General features: G+C 46.5%; 1 protein-coding gene and 1 long non-coding RNA gene across 29 annotated transcripts in view; one reads left to right on the top strand and one right to left on the bottom strand.

The window, feature by feature from the left end:
- The window catches only part of ACOXL (acyl-CoA oxidase like), a 385,976-nt gene extending 382,077 nt beyond the window's left edge, over positions 1-3,899 (bottom strand). For 23 of the 26 annotated variants that reach the window (NM_001437600.1, XM_011511414.4, NM_001142807.4 and 20 more), the window contains exon 1: positions 3,698-3,899. The gene's annotated coding sequence lies outside the window, so the exon portion shown is untranslated. Of the gene's footprint in view, positions 1-3,363; positions 3,536-3,697 lie in introns of those variants that run through there. The other 3 variants (XM_011511432.4, XM_047444904.1, XM_011511405.4) reach the window with 2 other exon arrangements.
- A 147-nt stretch (positions 3,900-4,046) lies between these two features.
- Positions 4,047-5,111, top strand: LOC124906064 (uncharacterized). 3 transcript variants are annotated; one of them, XR_007087181.1, is made up of 3 exons: positions 4,047-4,118; positions 4,568-4,636; positions 4,837-5,111. It is a non-coding gene; the product is annotated as an uncharacterized LOC124906064 (long non-coding RNA). The 3 variants fall into 3 exon arrangements; XR_007087180.1 differs by lacking the exon at positions 4,047-4,118 and adding an exon at positions 4,148-4,414; XR_007087179.1 differs by lacking the exon at positions 4,047-4,118 and having other exon boundaries at positions 4,148-4,636.
- Positions 5,112-16,159: the final 11,048 nt, after the last annotated feature.

The following is a 16,159-nucleotide window of genomic DNA, read 5'->3' as shown; positions in this document are numbered from 1 at the left end:
GAATCCACTTATATGGTACCTGGAATAGTCAGATGCTGAGAGACAGAATGTAGAATGAGGGTTGCCGGGGCTGGGGGAAGAGGGGAGTGGGGAGTTAGTGTCTAACAGGTACAGAGTTTCCATTTGGGATGATGAAATGTTTTGGAGCTGGACAGTGGTGATGGTTGCACAACAATGTGAACGCACTTAATGCCACTGAGTTGTACATTCAGAAGCAGTTAAATGGTCAATTTTATATAGTGTGTATTTTGCCACAATAAAAAAAAATGGCTGTAGGAGGAAACATTTTAGGAAACTTTCAAGTTGTCCAAATTATTTGACTCTTCCTAGTGAGAACGTGTTCATGAAATACTCATGGGGAAAAGCTAAACACATGAAAAGGTTAGGAAGAGAAATGTGCATTGCTCTAGGGAAGGAAAGAGAAGGGGACAAAGAGAAAGAAAGGGAGAAGGAAGCAGCCAGGAGCTACAAGTGGGAGAAGAAGGGTGTGAGAAGGCCCTGAGAGAACAGAATCCTATGGGGGGGCTTTCTCAGTTCTCCGGGTGAGAGGTGTGTGCTGTACCTACCTCTGCCAGCCAGCCTCTCCTGAGAGAGCTTCCCTTCACCAATAAACAAACTCAGAAAAATCTCAAAAGCTTATCTCATTTCAGATGTTGCTTTTTAACATTCCCTGCAAATCCCAATGAGGAGCCGCCAGTCACCCAGAATGCTCCTGCTGTCACAACAAACAGCACACCTGGTCAGATGCACAATAGGACAGGGGCGGGCACAGCAGCCAGGATGCTCCCGGAGTCTGAGGACTTAGCCCAGCAGGCTCATCCTTGGGAGAGAGAAAGTCACTCCTTAGAAGAGGAACCTGGGCTGTGCCTACATTGCCCCTGGGAGCCGATGGCCAGCACCCTGGGAATGAACTCCTCCTCTGAGGAGAGTGGCCACCCAGTGTGTGTAGGAAGTTGCACAACCTCTTTTGGAGGAAAACTGTTTCCTGAGCTCTTATGCCCTGGGATTGCCTGGCCCTGTACAAACTTCTCACTATGTACACACAGCACTCACCACTACGCTGCCACAACCCTCTCCCCTACACCTACTTTAACTGCAAAGACCTGTTTGGGGTAAGGTGGGGACAAGCCACAGGAGATCTGGCATTGCCTCAGAGAGGAGGAAGTTTTATTTCTCATCTCCTAATGTTCTATAACATTTTACATTAGGAGAATGTTAAAACATCCAGAAATCAAGATCGCCATCTTCTAACATGGGCTAAGGTAAAATCTGATAGTACAATATGAACTTTCAAATAGATAGATATCAGAATCTTTAACCATTTGGGGAAAAAATATGAAATGTTGTTCATGCCATTACTACAACTCTGAACTATAAAGTAAATAAACAAGAACTGGAAAGAATGGAAAAGTGTTTGTCAGGGTAATGGGATTTTTGCTTTTCCCTTTGCGTGCAAGTGTGTTTTGGTATCCCACCACAACCAGTGTTTACTCCATGCCCACGCAACAGTTTTTCATTCAAGCTTCATAACACAGCAGCATTGATATTATCTGCATTCTGTAGATGAACAAATGTAAGTCAATAAGGGGGAAAAAAAAATCCAGGACAATGGTCACACAGGAAATAAACTGCCACACTGGACCCCTTATCCAGGCATGCCTTTCCTCTGTCCCTATGGAATTCACAAGGAAGTCCCTTCTGCTTGCCTCAAATCAGTAGTTTGGTTATTACAATTTTGTTCCGTCTTTTAAACTGCAGTTATCTAAACTGAAAGACAAAGAGGTGATAGCCCAGGAACAAACTGAAAAGACTGAGGAATATAGGAGGGGATGTGTGTCTAATCAGATGCGACTGAACTCAGTATGACTTAAAGCAGCCGTTCACAAACATTGATTTTAGGAACTCTTTGCACTGTTAAGAATTATGAGGTCCCAGCACTTTGGGAGACCGAGGCAGGCGGATCGCTTGAGGTCAGAAGTTCAAGACCAGCCTGGCCAACACGGTGAAACCCCATCTCTACTAAAAATACAAAAAATTAGCCAGGCGTGGTGGTGGGTGCCTGTAATCTCAGCTACTCCGGAGGCTGAGACAGGAGAATCGCTTGAACCCAGGAGGTGGAGGTTGCAGTGAGCTGAGATCACACCACAGCACTCCAGCCTGGACAACAGAGTCAGACTCCGTCTCAAAAAAAAAAAATTATGAGGTCCCCAAAGAGCTTTTATTTGGGTGGGTTATATCCACTGATATTTCCCGTATTAGAAATTAAAACAGAAAAGTTTTCAAATGTTTATTAATTCATTTGAAAATAACTAATAAATCTATTAGTGTATTTTATGAAAATAACTATTTTCCAAAACAAAAAAAGTTAGCAAGAAGAGTAGCATCGTTCTATATTTTTACAAATCCCTTTACTGTCTGTCTTAATAGAAAGCAGCTGTATTCTCATGTCTGCTTCTATATTTTTTCTGCTGGAATACTACACATCATGTGGTCTCTGGAAACTGCCACTGTACATTAGTGAGAGAATGAGAGTGAAAAAGCTAATAACTTTTTTTGTATTACTATAAAAACAGTTTGTACTCATGAACCGCCTGAAATGCTCTTGGGTCCCCCCAGGGCTCCCTGTACCACACTTTGAGAACCATAACTTAAAGAACTATGTATGAGAGAGAGGGAAAGAGAAGTCGGCGAGACACTGATGGATATACCCACCATCCCACACTTCTCACTTTTCAACTTTCAAACGCCCCCAACTCCCCACTAGGTAACCTCAGTGCAGGAACCCCAGATTCTCCAAGGACAGCCTGACGTTCACTCAAGCCATCTCCTTCCCTCTCATTTCCGCAAAATAAATTAAACGAGGGCTAAGTGGGCATGGCTAACCAATTAATCCTCCACGGGCACATACTGACATTTTTAATAGGGCCTTTCTTAAGCTAGAACTCCAAAGCATGCCTCCAACTGGGCTTTTCAGACTGCTTGAAATGGGTATGAGAAAGAGAGCCCACAGGAGACACGAATGCCGAGTTCTGGTCCTGACTGTCCGGTGACTGAACCATCTCTCTATCTCCAGTGCAGCTCAAGCACTCAACCCTCTGCCTGCTTCTCAGGGCTGTCCTGGCATCGGATGACATCGAGGACCTGAGTTCTTCTTATAACCAAACCGCCCCGCTGAAGCTGCCCATTCCGCACACCTGCACTCCGAGGGGGTCCTGTAAGCCTGTCCCACCCCGACGCCCAGACACGCCCTGGACAGGGCCACTCCATCCCTGTGCGCCCATCCCATCGCGGTTTTCTGTCCCCTTCTCCCCACCAAGGGTGGGACATCGCGGGGCGGGGACTCAAGAAACAGGTTCAACAAACCAGCAAGGCCGATCTTCCAGCCACACGGTCTTCGTAGACACCGCGCCTGTCACCGCGGGGCCCAGCCCTGCACCCGACTCTTCGTGGGGGAGGGAGCTCGGGAGGAGAGGGCACCTCTCAGGGGGCCGAAGAGGTCGGCGGCGGCCGGCTGCGCCCACACACCTGGGGAGGGGAGCCCGTCACCTGCGGCGAGGCAGGGACCCGCCTCTCAGGCGCGGCGCACACCCCACCTCGCCCTCGCCAGGGCGTTGTCCGCAGCGACGCTCCGGGGACCGAGGGGACACGCTCGGCGGCTTCGGGGGCGCGGGCAGGGGCGACGGCCGCAGCGCGGTACCTTTGCCGGAAGAGCGGGCGCCGCCGAGGAGTCCGCGCAGCTCGTTCTTGAGGCTCCAGAAGTCGCCGTCCAGGTAGCGGTGCAGGGAGGAGTCCCCGAGCCCCAGACCCGGCGCCGGCTGCATCGCGCTCACCTGCCTCTGCTTCTCCGCGTGGCTGGCAGGGCCGGCTTCGCTCCGCGCCTCCTCCAGCTCCCAGCAGGTGAGGCCCCAGGCGCACGCCCTCTCCCTCTCCACCCCTCCCGGCCCGTCTCCTCCCTCCTCACCTTCCTCTCCCCTCCCTCCCCGGCCCCGCCCTGCCCTGGCTTCCCGGGCGGGAGGTCCGGCGCGAGCGGGCGCTTCTACGGTGGCCTCCCCTTGCCCTTCCGAGGAAGCGAAAACTCTACCCTCCAGTTATCAACTGTCCCTCAAGATTTGTGAGCCGTAAGAAACAAGTACTAGACCCCTAGAAAGGGTGCCAGTCACGTGGACCTGGGCACCAGAGGCCCGGCTGCTCAGGACTGACCGGCTGACCCACTCAGCAGATCTCCCGGCCAGCCACTTTGCCTGACCCCCACGACCCAAGATAGCCTGGCTCCAGCTCTGGCCCCTCCTCAGCTGTATCTCACCTCTTCCCCGCACTGGGCATTACTGTGAACTCTAATATCACGGTAATCTAAAGGCGTCCCAGGTCTACAGCACTGCAGTCCAGGGTAGCTGGAAGCTGCATTCATGACGAGGTGATCGACCGGAACACGATACTCATTTCCCAGGACACTCCTTTTTTTGTTGTGGCTGGAGGAAAATGAGTTATAACCTAAGTGGAAAATGTTCCTTCCTTTCTGCTCCCTAATTCTCATATACCTTGTTGATTCTCCTTTTAAATACTCAAGGAAATGTTAGCCGTTCCCTTCCAGAGGCTACTTTGCTGGGGAGATGATGGTGTGGTCTGCTGTCGTGAGGTTAGTGGATGCCATCTGTATTCGTTTCCAGTAACAAATTCCCACAAAGTGAGTGGCTTAAGATAGCACCAATTTATTCTCTTACATTTCTGGAAGTCAGAAGTCCAAAATAGGACTTACAGGGTTAAAATCAAGGTGTTGGCAGAGCTGGGTTCCTTCTCACAGCTCCAGGGAAAAATGCATTTCCTTGTCTTTACTAGCTCCTAGAGGCTGCCTGCATTTCTTAGCTCCTGGCCCCTTCGTCTGTCTTCAAAATGCATCACTTCAAGCTCTGCTTTCATCGTTCCATCTTCTACTGACTTTGACCTTCTTGCCTCCCTTGGACTTGTTTACATGGGACCCATGGGAATAATCCATGGTCAATGGGAATAATCTTCCCACCACAAGATCCATACTTTAATCACACCAGCAATGTCCATTTTGCCATATCAGAAACACACTCTCCGGTACTAGGGATTAAAACATGAGCACCTTTGGCGAGTCATTCCTCTGTCTACCACACCTGTGCAGCTGCGAGTAATAATACCCAGTCATCCATGATAAAAGGGGCTTTGTTTTCTCACATCACAGGAAGCTTGGTGGTAGGAAAGCCCCAGGGGTGAATTTGATGGCTCTACCCTGGGGACCCAGGTCCTTTGCATCTTTCTGCTCCACCATCCGCCATCCTTTCTCTATATGTAATCGTTACCTTTTTTTTTTTAACTTGTCTTCTACCAGTTGTAAGATGGATGCTGCAGCTCCAAGCACCACCCTGTGCAAAGCAGAAGAGGAGTATTTCCTTCTATATCAGCCAAAATAGTGTAGTGGTAACAAACAACCCCGAAACGACTTCACATACACTTCCTCAAATCTTAGGGCCTAAAAAGACAAGAGTTTATTTCTCACTCATGCTACCTGGGGGTTCTGTTCCATGTCCCCTCGGTCCAGGTCCTGGCTGACAGAACAGCCATGATTGTGTGGCCACACTGGCTTTTAAAGCTTCCAGCTGGAAGAGACACACATAACTTCTACTCACAATCCACTGGACAAAGCAGCTCACTCCTGTCTCGATGGGGGAAGGGAGGTACCACCCTGGACATGCCCAGGAGGTCAACACCCAAAATCATCTGTAAGCAGAGCTAGTGACTATTCAATCTGCCCTTCTGGTCACACTCTCCCTTCCACAGGCAAAATATACTCTCCATCCTTCCAGGGAAGCAGCCAAAGCCCCACACCTCCACAACATCAAGTCTGAGGCCCCTGGGGGATACAGAGTGGTCCTTGCATCAAGTCAGGATGTGGCTCCTCTTGATCCGGAGACCTATAAACTGAAAAGATAGGTTACTAAGTTAACTTCCAAGTGAGTGTTTGCTTGAGTGAGAAAAAAGAAAGGCCTCTGTTCTTAGAAGCCACTAAGATTTTTGTTGTTGTTGTTGTTGTTTCTTGACGTGGAGTTTTGCTCTTGTTGCCCAGGCTGGAGTGCAATGGCATGATCTTGGCTCACTGCAACCTCTGCCTCCTGGGTTCAAGCGATTCTCCTGTCTCAGCCTCCTGAGTAGCTGGGATTACAGGTGCCCGCCACCAAGCCTGGCAATTTTTTGTATTTTTAGTGGAGACACGGTTTCACCATGTTGGCCAGGCTGGTCTCAAACTCCTGACCTCAGGTGATTGTGATCCACCCACCTCGACCTCCCGAAGTGCTGGGTTTACAGGCATGAGCCACCGCACCCGGCCAACCACTAAGATTTTTTTTGAGGGTCATTTGTTACGTAGCCAATCATAGAAGATACTAAAAGAATGTTGCTGATTAAATAAAAAACTAAAATAGGTACATTGGCTTAGAGGCTGGGAGGGGCAAGGAGGATGCTGTCGACCAAAGCATTGTTGTTGACCAAAATTGAAAATGGTCCCTTTTATGAAGAGGCAAATATTTGACAAAGTTGCCACTGACAGGAGACAGACCTAACTTGGAACTTATCACTCCAAGAGAAGTTGCTGAAAACACAAGGTTAGTATTGCATGTTGGCTGCTTTTGCTTGTGTTTGGCAAGACATTATAAGAAAGAGATGGGCTTACAAAAGAATTAACCAGTTTGCAAGCAGGGATGGAAGGGAATAGAGTCCACAAGTTCAGGGACTTTTAGGGTTGGGAGAGGCAACTGCTTCACGACTTCTATTAGTAAAAGATGAAACTGAGAAATATTTAGTAACAAAAGCCCATTAAAATTCAGGAAACTCAGACTCTACTCCCTTGCCCCTTGTGGCAAGAATAGAATCAAGAGTCTCACTTGAAACCTGTAACAAATAGGTTTTGTGGATTCCCAGTAAGCCATCTTACTCCCGGGCCTTGTCCATCTGAGCAACCCCCATCTGAAGCATCACTGGTCTCTGCGTCAGAGGATGAGAGCACGGTTTGGATCACCCACGGACTTGTAAATGTACACCCAGAAGTGTCAAGCGTAATCTAGCCTGTCCTGGAAGATACCTCAAGAATCTGTTTACAAGCCACACCTCTCTCTAAGAGCCAGAGAAGTGTAATCCTCCCAGGCGCCCCCACCAGCCAACGCTAAAGACTACCACACTCCTGTGAATCTTTTGTTACTAGGAAAGAATAGCTGACAAAAGACCCAGTAAAATTGCCCTTGGGCCATCTTGGCTTAACTAGGTCCCTTGACCACTATATTATTTTCCTACAGTAACAAATTACCAGAAACTTGGTTAGGTAAACGGCAGAAATTTAATTATCTCACAGATTTGGAGGCTAGAAATCTGAAATGTTCAGCAGCGCCTTGTTACTTTTGAAGGCTCTAGGGAAGAATCCTTCCTTGCCTTTTTCTAGATTCTGCTGGCTCCCAGCAATCCTTGGTATTGCTTGGCTTATAGCAGCATCATTTCACACTCTGCCCCATCATCACATGGCCTTCCTTTCTGTGGGTCTCTATGTCTTCAAATCTCCCTCCTCTTGAAGGACATTGGTTGTAGAATTTAGTGCCCTCCCTAATCCAACATGACTCATCTCAACTTGATTACATCTGCAAAACCCCTATTTTCAAAGAAGGTCACTTTCTGATATGAACGTTTAGGGAACACTATTCAACCCAGTATACCCACCCAGAACTAACGGGAACTGACAAATGAGAAAGAAATAAAAGGAAGTGACCATATACTGGCTTAGATCAATGGTTTCCACACTAAGTGTGTATCAGAGTAACCATGAACACAGACACACAAATACACACGACTTGGCCAATCGATCCAATTTCTAGAGGTAGGCATCTGTAGTTTTTAAAAGCTCCTCTCCACCCCAGGTGACTCTACTATTGTGCAGCCAGGGCTCAGCCCATGGGCTTAGGCTCAATGGTTCTTGATCTTGCTACGCAGGGGATTACTACATTATTGGGAAAATTGGTGAAATTTAAGCAACATGGATAATATAATACTGTATCAATGTTGACTTTATGGTTTTGATTATTGTACTGTGGATATTTAAATGAACGTTCTTGTCATTAGGAGCAAATTCAAGTAGTTAGGGGTAAAGGGGCAACTGACTCCAAATGAGTCTGAAAAATATACACAGAGAGAGAGAGAGAATAAAATGTGGCTCCCTGGACTATCTGTGTTACGCAGGACTTTCTCTTACAAGTACAGTCACACACCACATAACAATGTTTTGGTCAACAACAGACTGCATATATGACATTGGTCCTGTAAGATTATAATGGAGCTGAAAAATTCCTATCACCGCATGACATCATTGGTGTCGTAAAGTCATAGCCCAACATATTACTCACTTGTTTCTGGCGATCTGGTCAACAAACTACTGTGATCAGATCCATAGAGCCCAGGTTAATAAAAACACAAAACTTCTGCACTACCAGTTGTATAAAAGTGTAACATATACAATTATGTACAGTAGTGCATAATACTTGATGGTAACAGTAAATGATTATGTTATTGGTTTATGTATTTACTATACTATACTTTTAACCATTATTTTGGAGTGTACTCCTACTTACTTTTTAAAAAGTTAACTGTAAAACAGCCTCATGCAGGTCCTTCAGGAAGATTCCGGAAGAAGACAGTGTTATCCTAGGAGACGACAGTTCCATGAGTGTTATGGCCCCAAAGACCCTCTAGTGAGACAGGATAAAGAAGTAGAAGACAATCATATTGATGGTCCTGACCCTGTATAGGCCTAGGCTAATGTGCCTTTGTGTCTTCATTTTTAACAAAAAAAAAAAGCTTAAAAATTGAAAAATAAAAAATTATAAAAATAGAAAAATACAGGATGAGGATATAAAGAAAATATTTTTGCATAGCTGATGTGCTTGTGTTTTAAAATATTATTATGAAATGGTCAAAAAGTTAAAAAAATAGAAGTTTATAAAGTAAGGAAGTTACAGTAATCTTACCGTAAAGTAAAAAAGTTACAGTAAGCTAAGGTTAATTTATTATTGAAGAAAGAAAAAGGTTTTTTTTTTAATTTAGTATAGCCTAACTATAGTGTTTCTAAGGTCTACAGCAGTGTACAGAAATGTCCTAGGCCCTCACATTCTCTCACCACTCACCCACTGACTCACCCAGAGTAACTTCTAGCCCTACAAGCTCCGTTCATGGAAAGTGTCCTGTACAGGTGTACCATTTTTTATCTTTTACACTGTATTTTTACTATATTTTCTCTATGTTTACATACACAAATACTTACTCTTATGTTACAATTGCCTACAGTATTGAATACAGTAACATGCTGTGCAGGTTTGTAGCCTAGGTGTGTAATAGGCTGTACCATCTAGGTTTGTGTAAGTTCACTCTGTGATGTTCGCACAATGACGAAATCACCTAACAACACATTTCTCAAAACATATCTCCATCGTTAAGCAATGCAAGAATGTAGTAAAATCCAATCTGAATTCTCTGTAACAAAATGGAAATGTATTGGCTCATGAAACTCAGGGAAGACGTGCATGTCCTAACTACAGAAGGTCAGGAGTGTGGCTGGTGTCAGACAACTGGGGCCAGCTGCTCCAACTCCAAAATCCACCAGCCTTCCTCTGTCTGTCTCTGTCTGTCTCTGTCTCTCTCTTTGTCTCTCTCTCTCTCTCTCTCTCTCTGCCCCCCACCCCCCACCCCCCATCTCCACAAGCCCAGGTGTCAGGGCTCTAACTCCTCCACCAGCCAGAAAGCACAGAAGCCAACAGTTCCCAAGCCTCACATTCCTCAGCCTCTGCCATCAGAAAGGGCCTTGCTGTTTCCTCATTTCCAATTGCACTAACTCTGGGAAAGGACTGGTATCAGCTTAGAGTGGGGTCAGGTGCCCATATATCTGAACCACCCCTTGGGGTAGGGAGAGGCACCACAGGAACTATGTAAGGATGTGGCAAAGCAGCCACAGGGTCTGGTAGGGAGGTGGTGCCCTCTCCGCCGCCCCATCCAGCTGCCCCCTGCAAGCTGCTTTTCACAGCCACATCTCCCACCTCCTGAATCCTTCCCCAGCCCTCTCCCCTAATGGCTTCACCCTTGCAGGCAGCATAACAGGACAGGACTGCCATCCTCTCCAGAATTGGAGGGACCTCTAGGCTGCTCTAAACAGTAATACCCCAAATAACATTCTATGGGGGTTCTCCTTCAAGACCATCAATAGGATATGAGAGGTTGAAGGACACAAGGTAGATGTATGAGCTTCCCTGGGGCCAGGCTAAGAAAATCCTCTCTAAGGAGCTGCTGGAAGGAAGGCCTGCAGAGGCAGGCTGGGCTGACAACTGGCATCCCTGCAGCTGGGCTGCAGAAGGAGCCTGAGGAAGCCACAGCAGTCACCGGCCTCTGAGAAGGATGCACAGATCCACAGTGGCCTGGCGATGACATCTGGGTTTGCCCAGGGGCTCTCTGTAGTCCTAGGCCCTCAGTACAAAAGGTGGGGCCATAAGCTGCTGCGAGCTTCACTCTGCTGCTTCTGGACCATTGGCCTTGGTATAAAAGGCTGACCCCTCAGCAAGAGAGAGCATTCCCACATACGGTGGCTCTGTGGATTTTAATGTGGCCATGTGCATCTGGCTGGCAGCTTTCCTTTTGTTAACTGACTTGCCCAAGGGCACATGGCTCTCAATGTCAGAGGACCCAGGCCTCCAAATGGCCTACCCAGGCTCACACGACTCTTCAGTCACACGCACATCATGCTACCGAGACAGGACTAACCTGGGGGCCTTGGCAAACATTATGGATGCTGTTTTTATGGAGGCCTGGGGCATGAACGTTACAATCCATGGTTCACGGTTCTGTGGAGAGGCACAGTCTGTTCTCGGGGGCACTTCAGTGTCCTTTGTAGAAATCATGGAACCGTAAAACGTCAGAGCCGGGGGCACCCTGGAGCTTGTCTAGTCAGTCCCTTCTTTTCAGGTGAGGACACTGCAGGGCATGGCTGTTGTGTAGGGCTTGAGGAGGGAGAAATGGGATGATTTGGGAAACTAATTTACACTGTCCCCCATGCTTCTCAGTACTCCCCAGTCTGAGCACTTCAGGAGTCCCAGTAAAGGTAATAGCTCAGATTTACCTGGCCGGGGCCTCACCTGTCTATGCCAAGACTTAGGCCCCTGATAAGCCTCCCTTCCTTCCTTCCTTCCTTCCTCCCTCCATTCCTCCTTCCTTCTTCCCCTCTTTCCTTCTTTCCTTCCATCCCTCTGTTTCTCCCTTCCTCTTTCCTTCCCTCCTTCCTTCCTTCCTCTTTCTTTCTTTCCTTCCCTCCCTCTGTCCCTCCCTCTGTCCTTCCTTCCTTCTCTCCTTCCTTCCTTCCTTGCCTCCTTCTTTCTTCCCCCCCTTCCTTTCTTCCCTCCCTCCCTCCTTCCTTCCTTTCTCCCTTCCTTCCATCCTTCCTTCCTCTCTTCCTCCCTCCATGCCTCCTTCCTTCCTCCCTTCCTCCCTCCGTTCTTCCTTCCTTCCCTCTTTCCTTCTTTCCTTCCCTCCCTCTGTTCCTCCCTTCCCTCCTTCCTTCCCTCTTTCTTTCCTTCCCTCCGTCTGTGCCTCCTTCCTTCCTTGTTTCCTTCCCTCCCTCCCTTCCTTTCTTCTCTCCCTCCCTCCCTCCTTCCTTCCTTCCTTCTTCTTTCTTTCATTTTGGTTTTTCTTCACCTCCCACACAGCCTAAGAAGTCCCTCCTTCTTGTTGCACTGACACACCTCCAGGGGCCCTGAGGGGTTTCTCCCATATGCTCACCAGCAGTTCCACTGGCTCCCCACTGGGCATTGTCTGATCCACAAGGAGCCCCCTGGGTGGGATGAAAGGCTGGCATGTGGGGACAGGATCCAGGAAATATGGCTTCCTTTTATGTTATCACTTTGGGAACAGGGTTCTAGAGCAGAGGTTGCAATGGGAAAATTCTAGCAGCTTTTACTTACTGCCTTCTCTGACCCCAAGTGCCAGACATGTGCCTGGGGAAGGAACAAATTCTGAAACAGCCACCATGTGGTCCTCAGGAATGCCCTCCCCTCCACACAGCCACAGTTTTGTTCCAGAGTCACCCCTAACGTAACTGCCATCTTTTCTCCCCCGGGATAAAGTCTTCCTGTAAGTAGGCTCCAACAGGCTCACTTCAGCCTCAACTGGCCCCACCAGGCACCAGTGGCCCATGCTGGGGACACACACTCACACCCCCTGAATCCCCACACAGACAGGCTGGCATCAGGGGCTCCCACGCTGACTCCCATGCACCCCATTCTTGGAAACAATCAGGCTGTAAACTATGATGGTGCCCTTCCCTGAGCAAGACCAGCAAGTTTTGAGGCCAGCTCTCTTTCCCATGTCCCTCCTCCAAGACACACATTCCTAGTCCAAAATAAAGCTGCTCGATGTGAGTCCATGGACCCCGCTGTGTCACTCTGAGGTTTCTCTCTGTATGGTGACATGCAGGCATCTCTGGGAGGTACTGTTGTCTAATAAGCAAGTGAAGAACAGTGTATAAAATGTGCTACCTTTTGTGTGAGAGAGAGGAGGAATATATGTATTATGTAGCTGTGTGTGTGTACATTTACCTATATTTTCACAAATAGAGCAGATAAACCAGAAGCTAATTAAAATTGTTACCAATAGAACTTTGGAGGGGATAGGGATGGAAGGTACCCTTCCCTGAATTGACCTTGTTTTTAAATTTTTGACTTTGGAATTCGGTAAATGTTTTACATAACCTTAAAATTTTAAACCTAACAAAAAAATACAGTCACTAAAGATGAAAAAGAAACTGAAACAAATTTATTCAACTCTGTTTCAGGTTGCTGGCATAACTACAAGGGAAAAGTTATTTCAATTCATTTAAAATACATTACTTTCACTGCATAGCTCACTAGGAATATAGCCTAAAGAAGAACTGCAGAGAAATTTTATAACGTATTCACTAGTCTTATTATTAGTAGTAATGTTGTTATTATTTTGAAACTTTTTGTGTATGCTGTAACATAAAGTAAGTAAGTAACTGAATAAATGGCATTAGACTCCAAGATTTTGGTAGAAAAGAAACAAAGAAGTTAAGACCTTTTACCTTTTAAATCTTTAAAAGCTAGGTCCCTCTGACTCTCCAGCCTATGTTTTTTCCAGGATACCATATGACTTAAAGGAGGAGGAAATGCTATTTTTAAAAAACATGGATTATCATTTGTATTCGTTTCCTAGGGCTGTGTATTAGTCCGTCCTCGCATTGCTATAAAGAAATACCGAGACTGGGTAATTTATAAAGAAAAGGGGCTTAATTGGCTCACGGTTCCACAGGCTGTACAGGAAGCATGATATTGACATCTGCTTCATTTCTGGGGAGGCCTCAGCAAACTTTCAATCATGGTGGAAGGCAAAGGGGGGAGCAAGAAGCTTCACATGGCTGTAGCAAGAGGAAGAGGGAAAAGCAGAAGGTCCCACACGCTTTTAAACAAGATCTTACAAGAACTCACTCACTATCATGAGAACAGCACCAAGGTGATGGTGCTAAAGCCACTCATGAAGGACCATCCCCATGGTCCAATCACCTCCCACCAGGCCCCACCTCCAACGTTGGGGATAAGAATTCCTCATGAGATTTGACTGGGGACACAGATCCAAACCATGTCAGCTTGCTATAGCAAAGTACCTTGAGCTAGGTAGCTTAAGACAACAGAAATGTAAAATAAATTTCGTAGTTCTAGATACCAGAAGTCCAAATCAAGGTATTTGCAGGTTCCTTCCTGGGAGCTCAGAAAGAGAATCTGTTCCATGCTTCCCACCCAGCCTCTGGTGGTTGCTGCAGTTCTTGGCATTCCTTGGCTTGTGCAGCACAAATCCAACCTCTACCTTGTGTGTCTCTGTCTCTGTGTCTCCTCTTCCCTTCTTAAAAGGGCATACATCACAATGTATTAGGGATCCATCCTGCTCCAGTGTGACCTTATCTTTATTTAACGATTATATCTACAATTAAGTTCACATTCTAAGGTTCCAGGAAGGACATGGATTTGGAGAGGGCATTAGTCAACCCAGTCCATCACTTTTCCTTTTTTTATTTTGTATTCTGAAACAAGTGACACTTTTATTTTTGGGGAGTGTTTCACCTGTTCCAAGTTCATTTTAGGTTTAGACATAAAGTCTAAGAAGGAAATTAATTATAGGCAATCATAGTTAATACTAACATTTGCTTAGCTAAATTTACAATGTTTCCAGACTCTGCAGTGACTGCTTTCCATGAATGTTCTGGTTGAATCCTCACAGCCGGACAATTATTATCCCCAATTTCAGTAGAGTCTGTTGAGGCTCAGAGAGATTAATTCCTGAAGTCAGACAACTAGAATGCAAGAAGCAGGAGCTTGGGAGAAAGAAAGCAGTCAAGCTCTGGAGCCAGTATACAAACACTTGTGTGATTCTGTATGCCTTCCACAAACCAGGCCTCTCAACAGACCATTTAGCAGGATTCAGGTTCATCATTTGGAGAAAGCTTTCCCATCATCTCGACTCTAGCTCTGGTTTGTCTTTCAGATCACAGAGGGAAAGGAAAGGAAATTAACATGAGAACTGAATGTTTTCATGAAGTCACATCTCTTGGATGATACTATCAATGCCAGTGTATAGTAAGCAACACATCAGTTTCACTGGGCCTGACTCCTGGCTTCCTGATCTCTTATATATTACTGGCATTACAAGACTGACTGACAACCAGATTTAAAAAAAAGAGCTCTGGGCCGGGAGCGGTGGCTCACACCTGTAATCCCAGCACTTTGGGAGGCTGAGGTGGGCGGACCACGAGGTAAGGAGTTTGAGACCAGCCTGACCAACATGGAGAAACCCCGTCTCTACTAAAAATACAAAAATTATATGGGCATGGTGGTGCGTGCCTGTAATCCCAGCTGCTCGGGAGGCTGAGGCAGGAGAATCACTTGAAGCCGGGAGGCAGAGGTTGCAGTGAGCCGAGATTGTGCCACTGCACTTCAGCCTGGGCGACAGAGCGAGACTACAAATCTCAAAAAAAAAAAAGCTCAGTCTCCTATTTCAATCTCTGCTCTTCCTGCCATTTATATATTTTCCTCTTTAGTATCTGGCTTTCTTCCCCACTAGAACTTAAGGTCTATGAAGGCAGGGATTCTTCTGTGTGTGCTATATCCCAAGGTTCTAGCTATATCCCAAGGTTCTAGGACACTCTCTAGTACATGGTAAGTACCCAATACATATTTTCGAATGGAAGTTTTCTATCTATGTTGAAATCAGTTCACTTGTTCTACTTAAATAAACTTACCTAAGTAAAAATTTATTTTTGAAGGAAACTTGATATTACTACCACAAATGGAAAGCAGTATCTCATGTAGCATAAATAGAATTCACAAAAATAAATACAATAAAACTAAGCAGTTTCAATGTTAACAGTGAAAGTATAAATTGAAATATACAAGTATATCTGAAAAGATGTTAAACCACACTCACAGTAAGAGAAATGTAGTTTTCAACCCAAACTGGAGATACCATTCTTTATCAGACGAGTAAAGATCAAAAGGTCAGGTTCTTGGCATGTCGGCATGAGGGTGGGAATCAGGTGAGCTAGTAGATTGCTGGCGGGCTTGTGAGCATTCACCCTTATGTCCAGGCACTGCCAGGGAACTGTTGGCTGTGGGCCTGCCTAGATATGTGCCATCGGTGAAATGTCAAGGTTTTATCCTCCCAACAGCATCGCTGGCTATGATCTCATGGGTAACAACAGGTTAGTAATTGAATTTGGCCCACATTTCCTGAGGGTCAACTGAGTGCTGAGCTTCTAGAGACTGGGGTGGGGGTGGGTGGCAGATGGCCTTTGGGATCTATTTGGACATGGGCATGGAAAGCCTGCCAACCCTACCACAGAGTGACAAGGTGCATTAGCAAGAAGGAAACAAAGCTGCTCAGAAAGATGTGGAGCCGAGGGGATTGGGTCCAATGGGCCTTCCCTGCCCCTGCCCACCGATGAGTCTTCCAGTCTGCCTTGGATGGGTAGATAATTGTTGTCCTCTCCCTCTGGGTTCCATCCACTTGGTGCCCGCACCCCACTGTTCTCAGTCTTCTGCAAGGGCATGCCTGGTCC

This window comes from Homo sapiens, chromosome 2 (genome assembly GCF_000001405.40).
Source record: "Homo sapiens chromosome 2, GRCh38.p14 Primary Assembly".
Lineage (NCBI taxonomy): Eukaryota > Metazoa > Chordata > Mammalia > Primates > Hominidae > Homo > Homo sapiens.
Note: the sequence above shows the minus strand (reverse complement) of the source record. Positions and strands in the feature narration are given on the sequence as shown.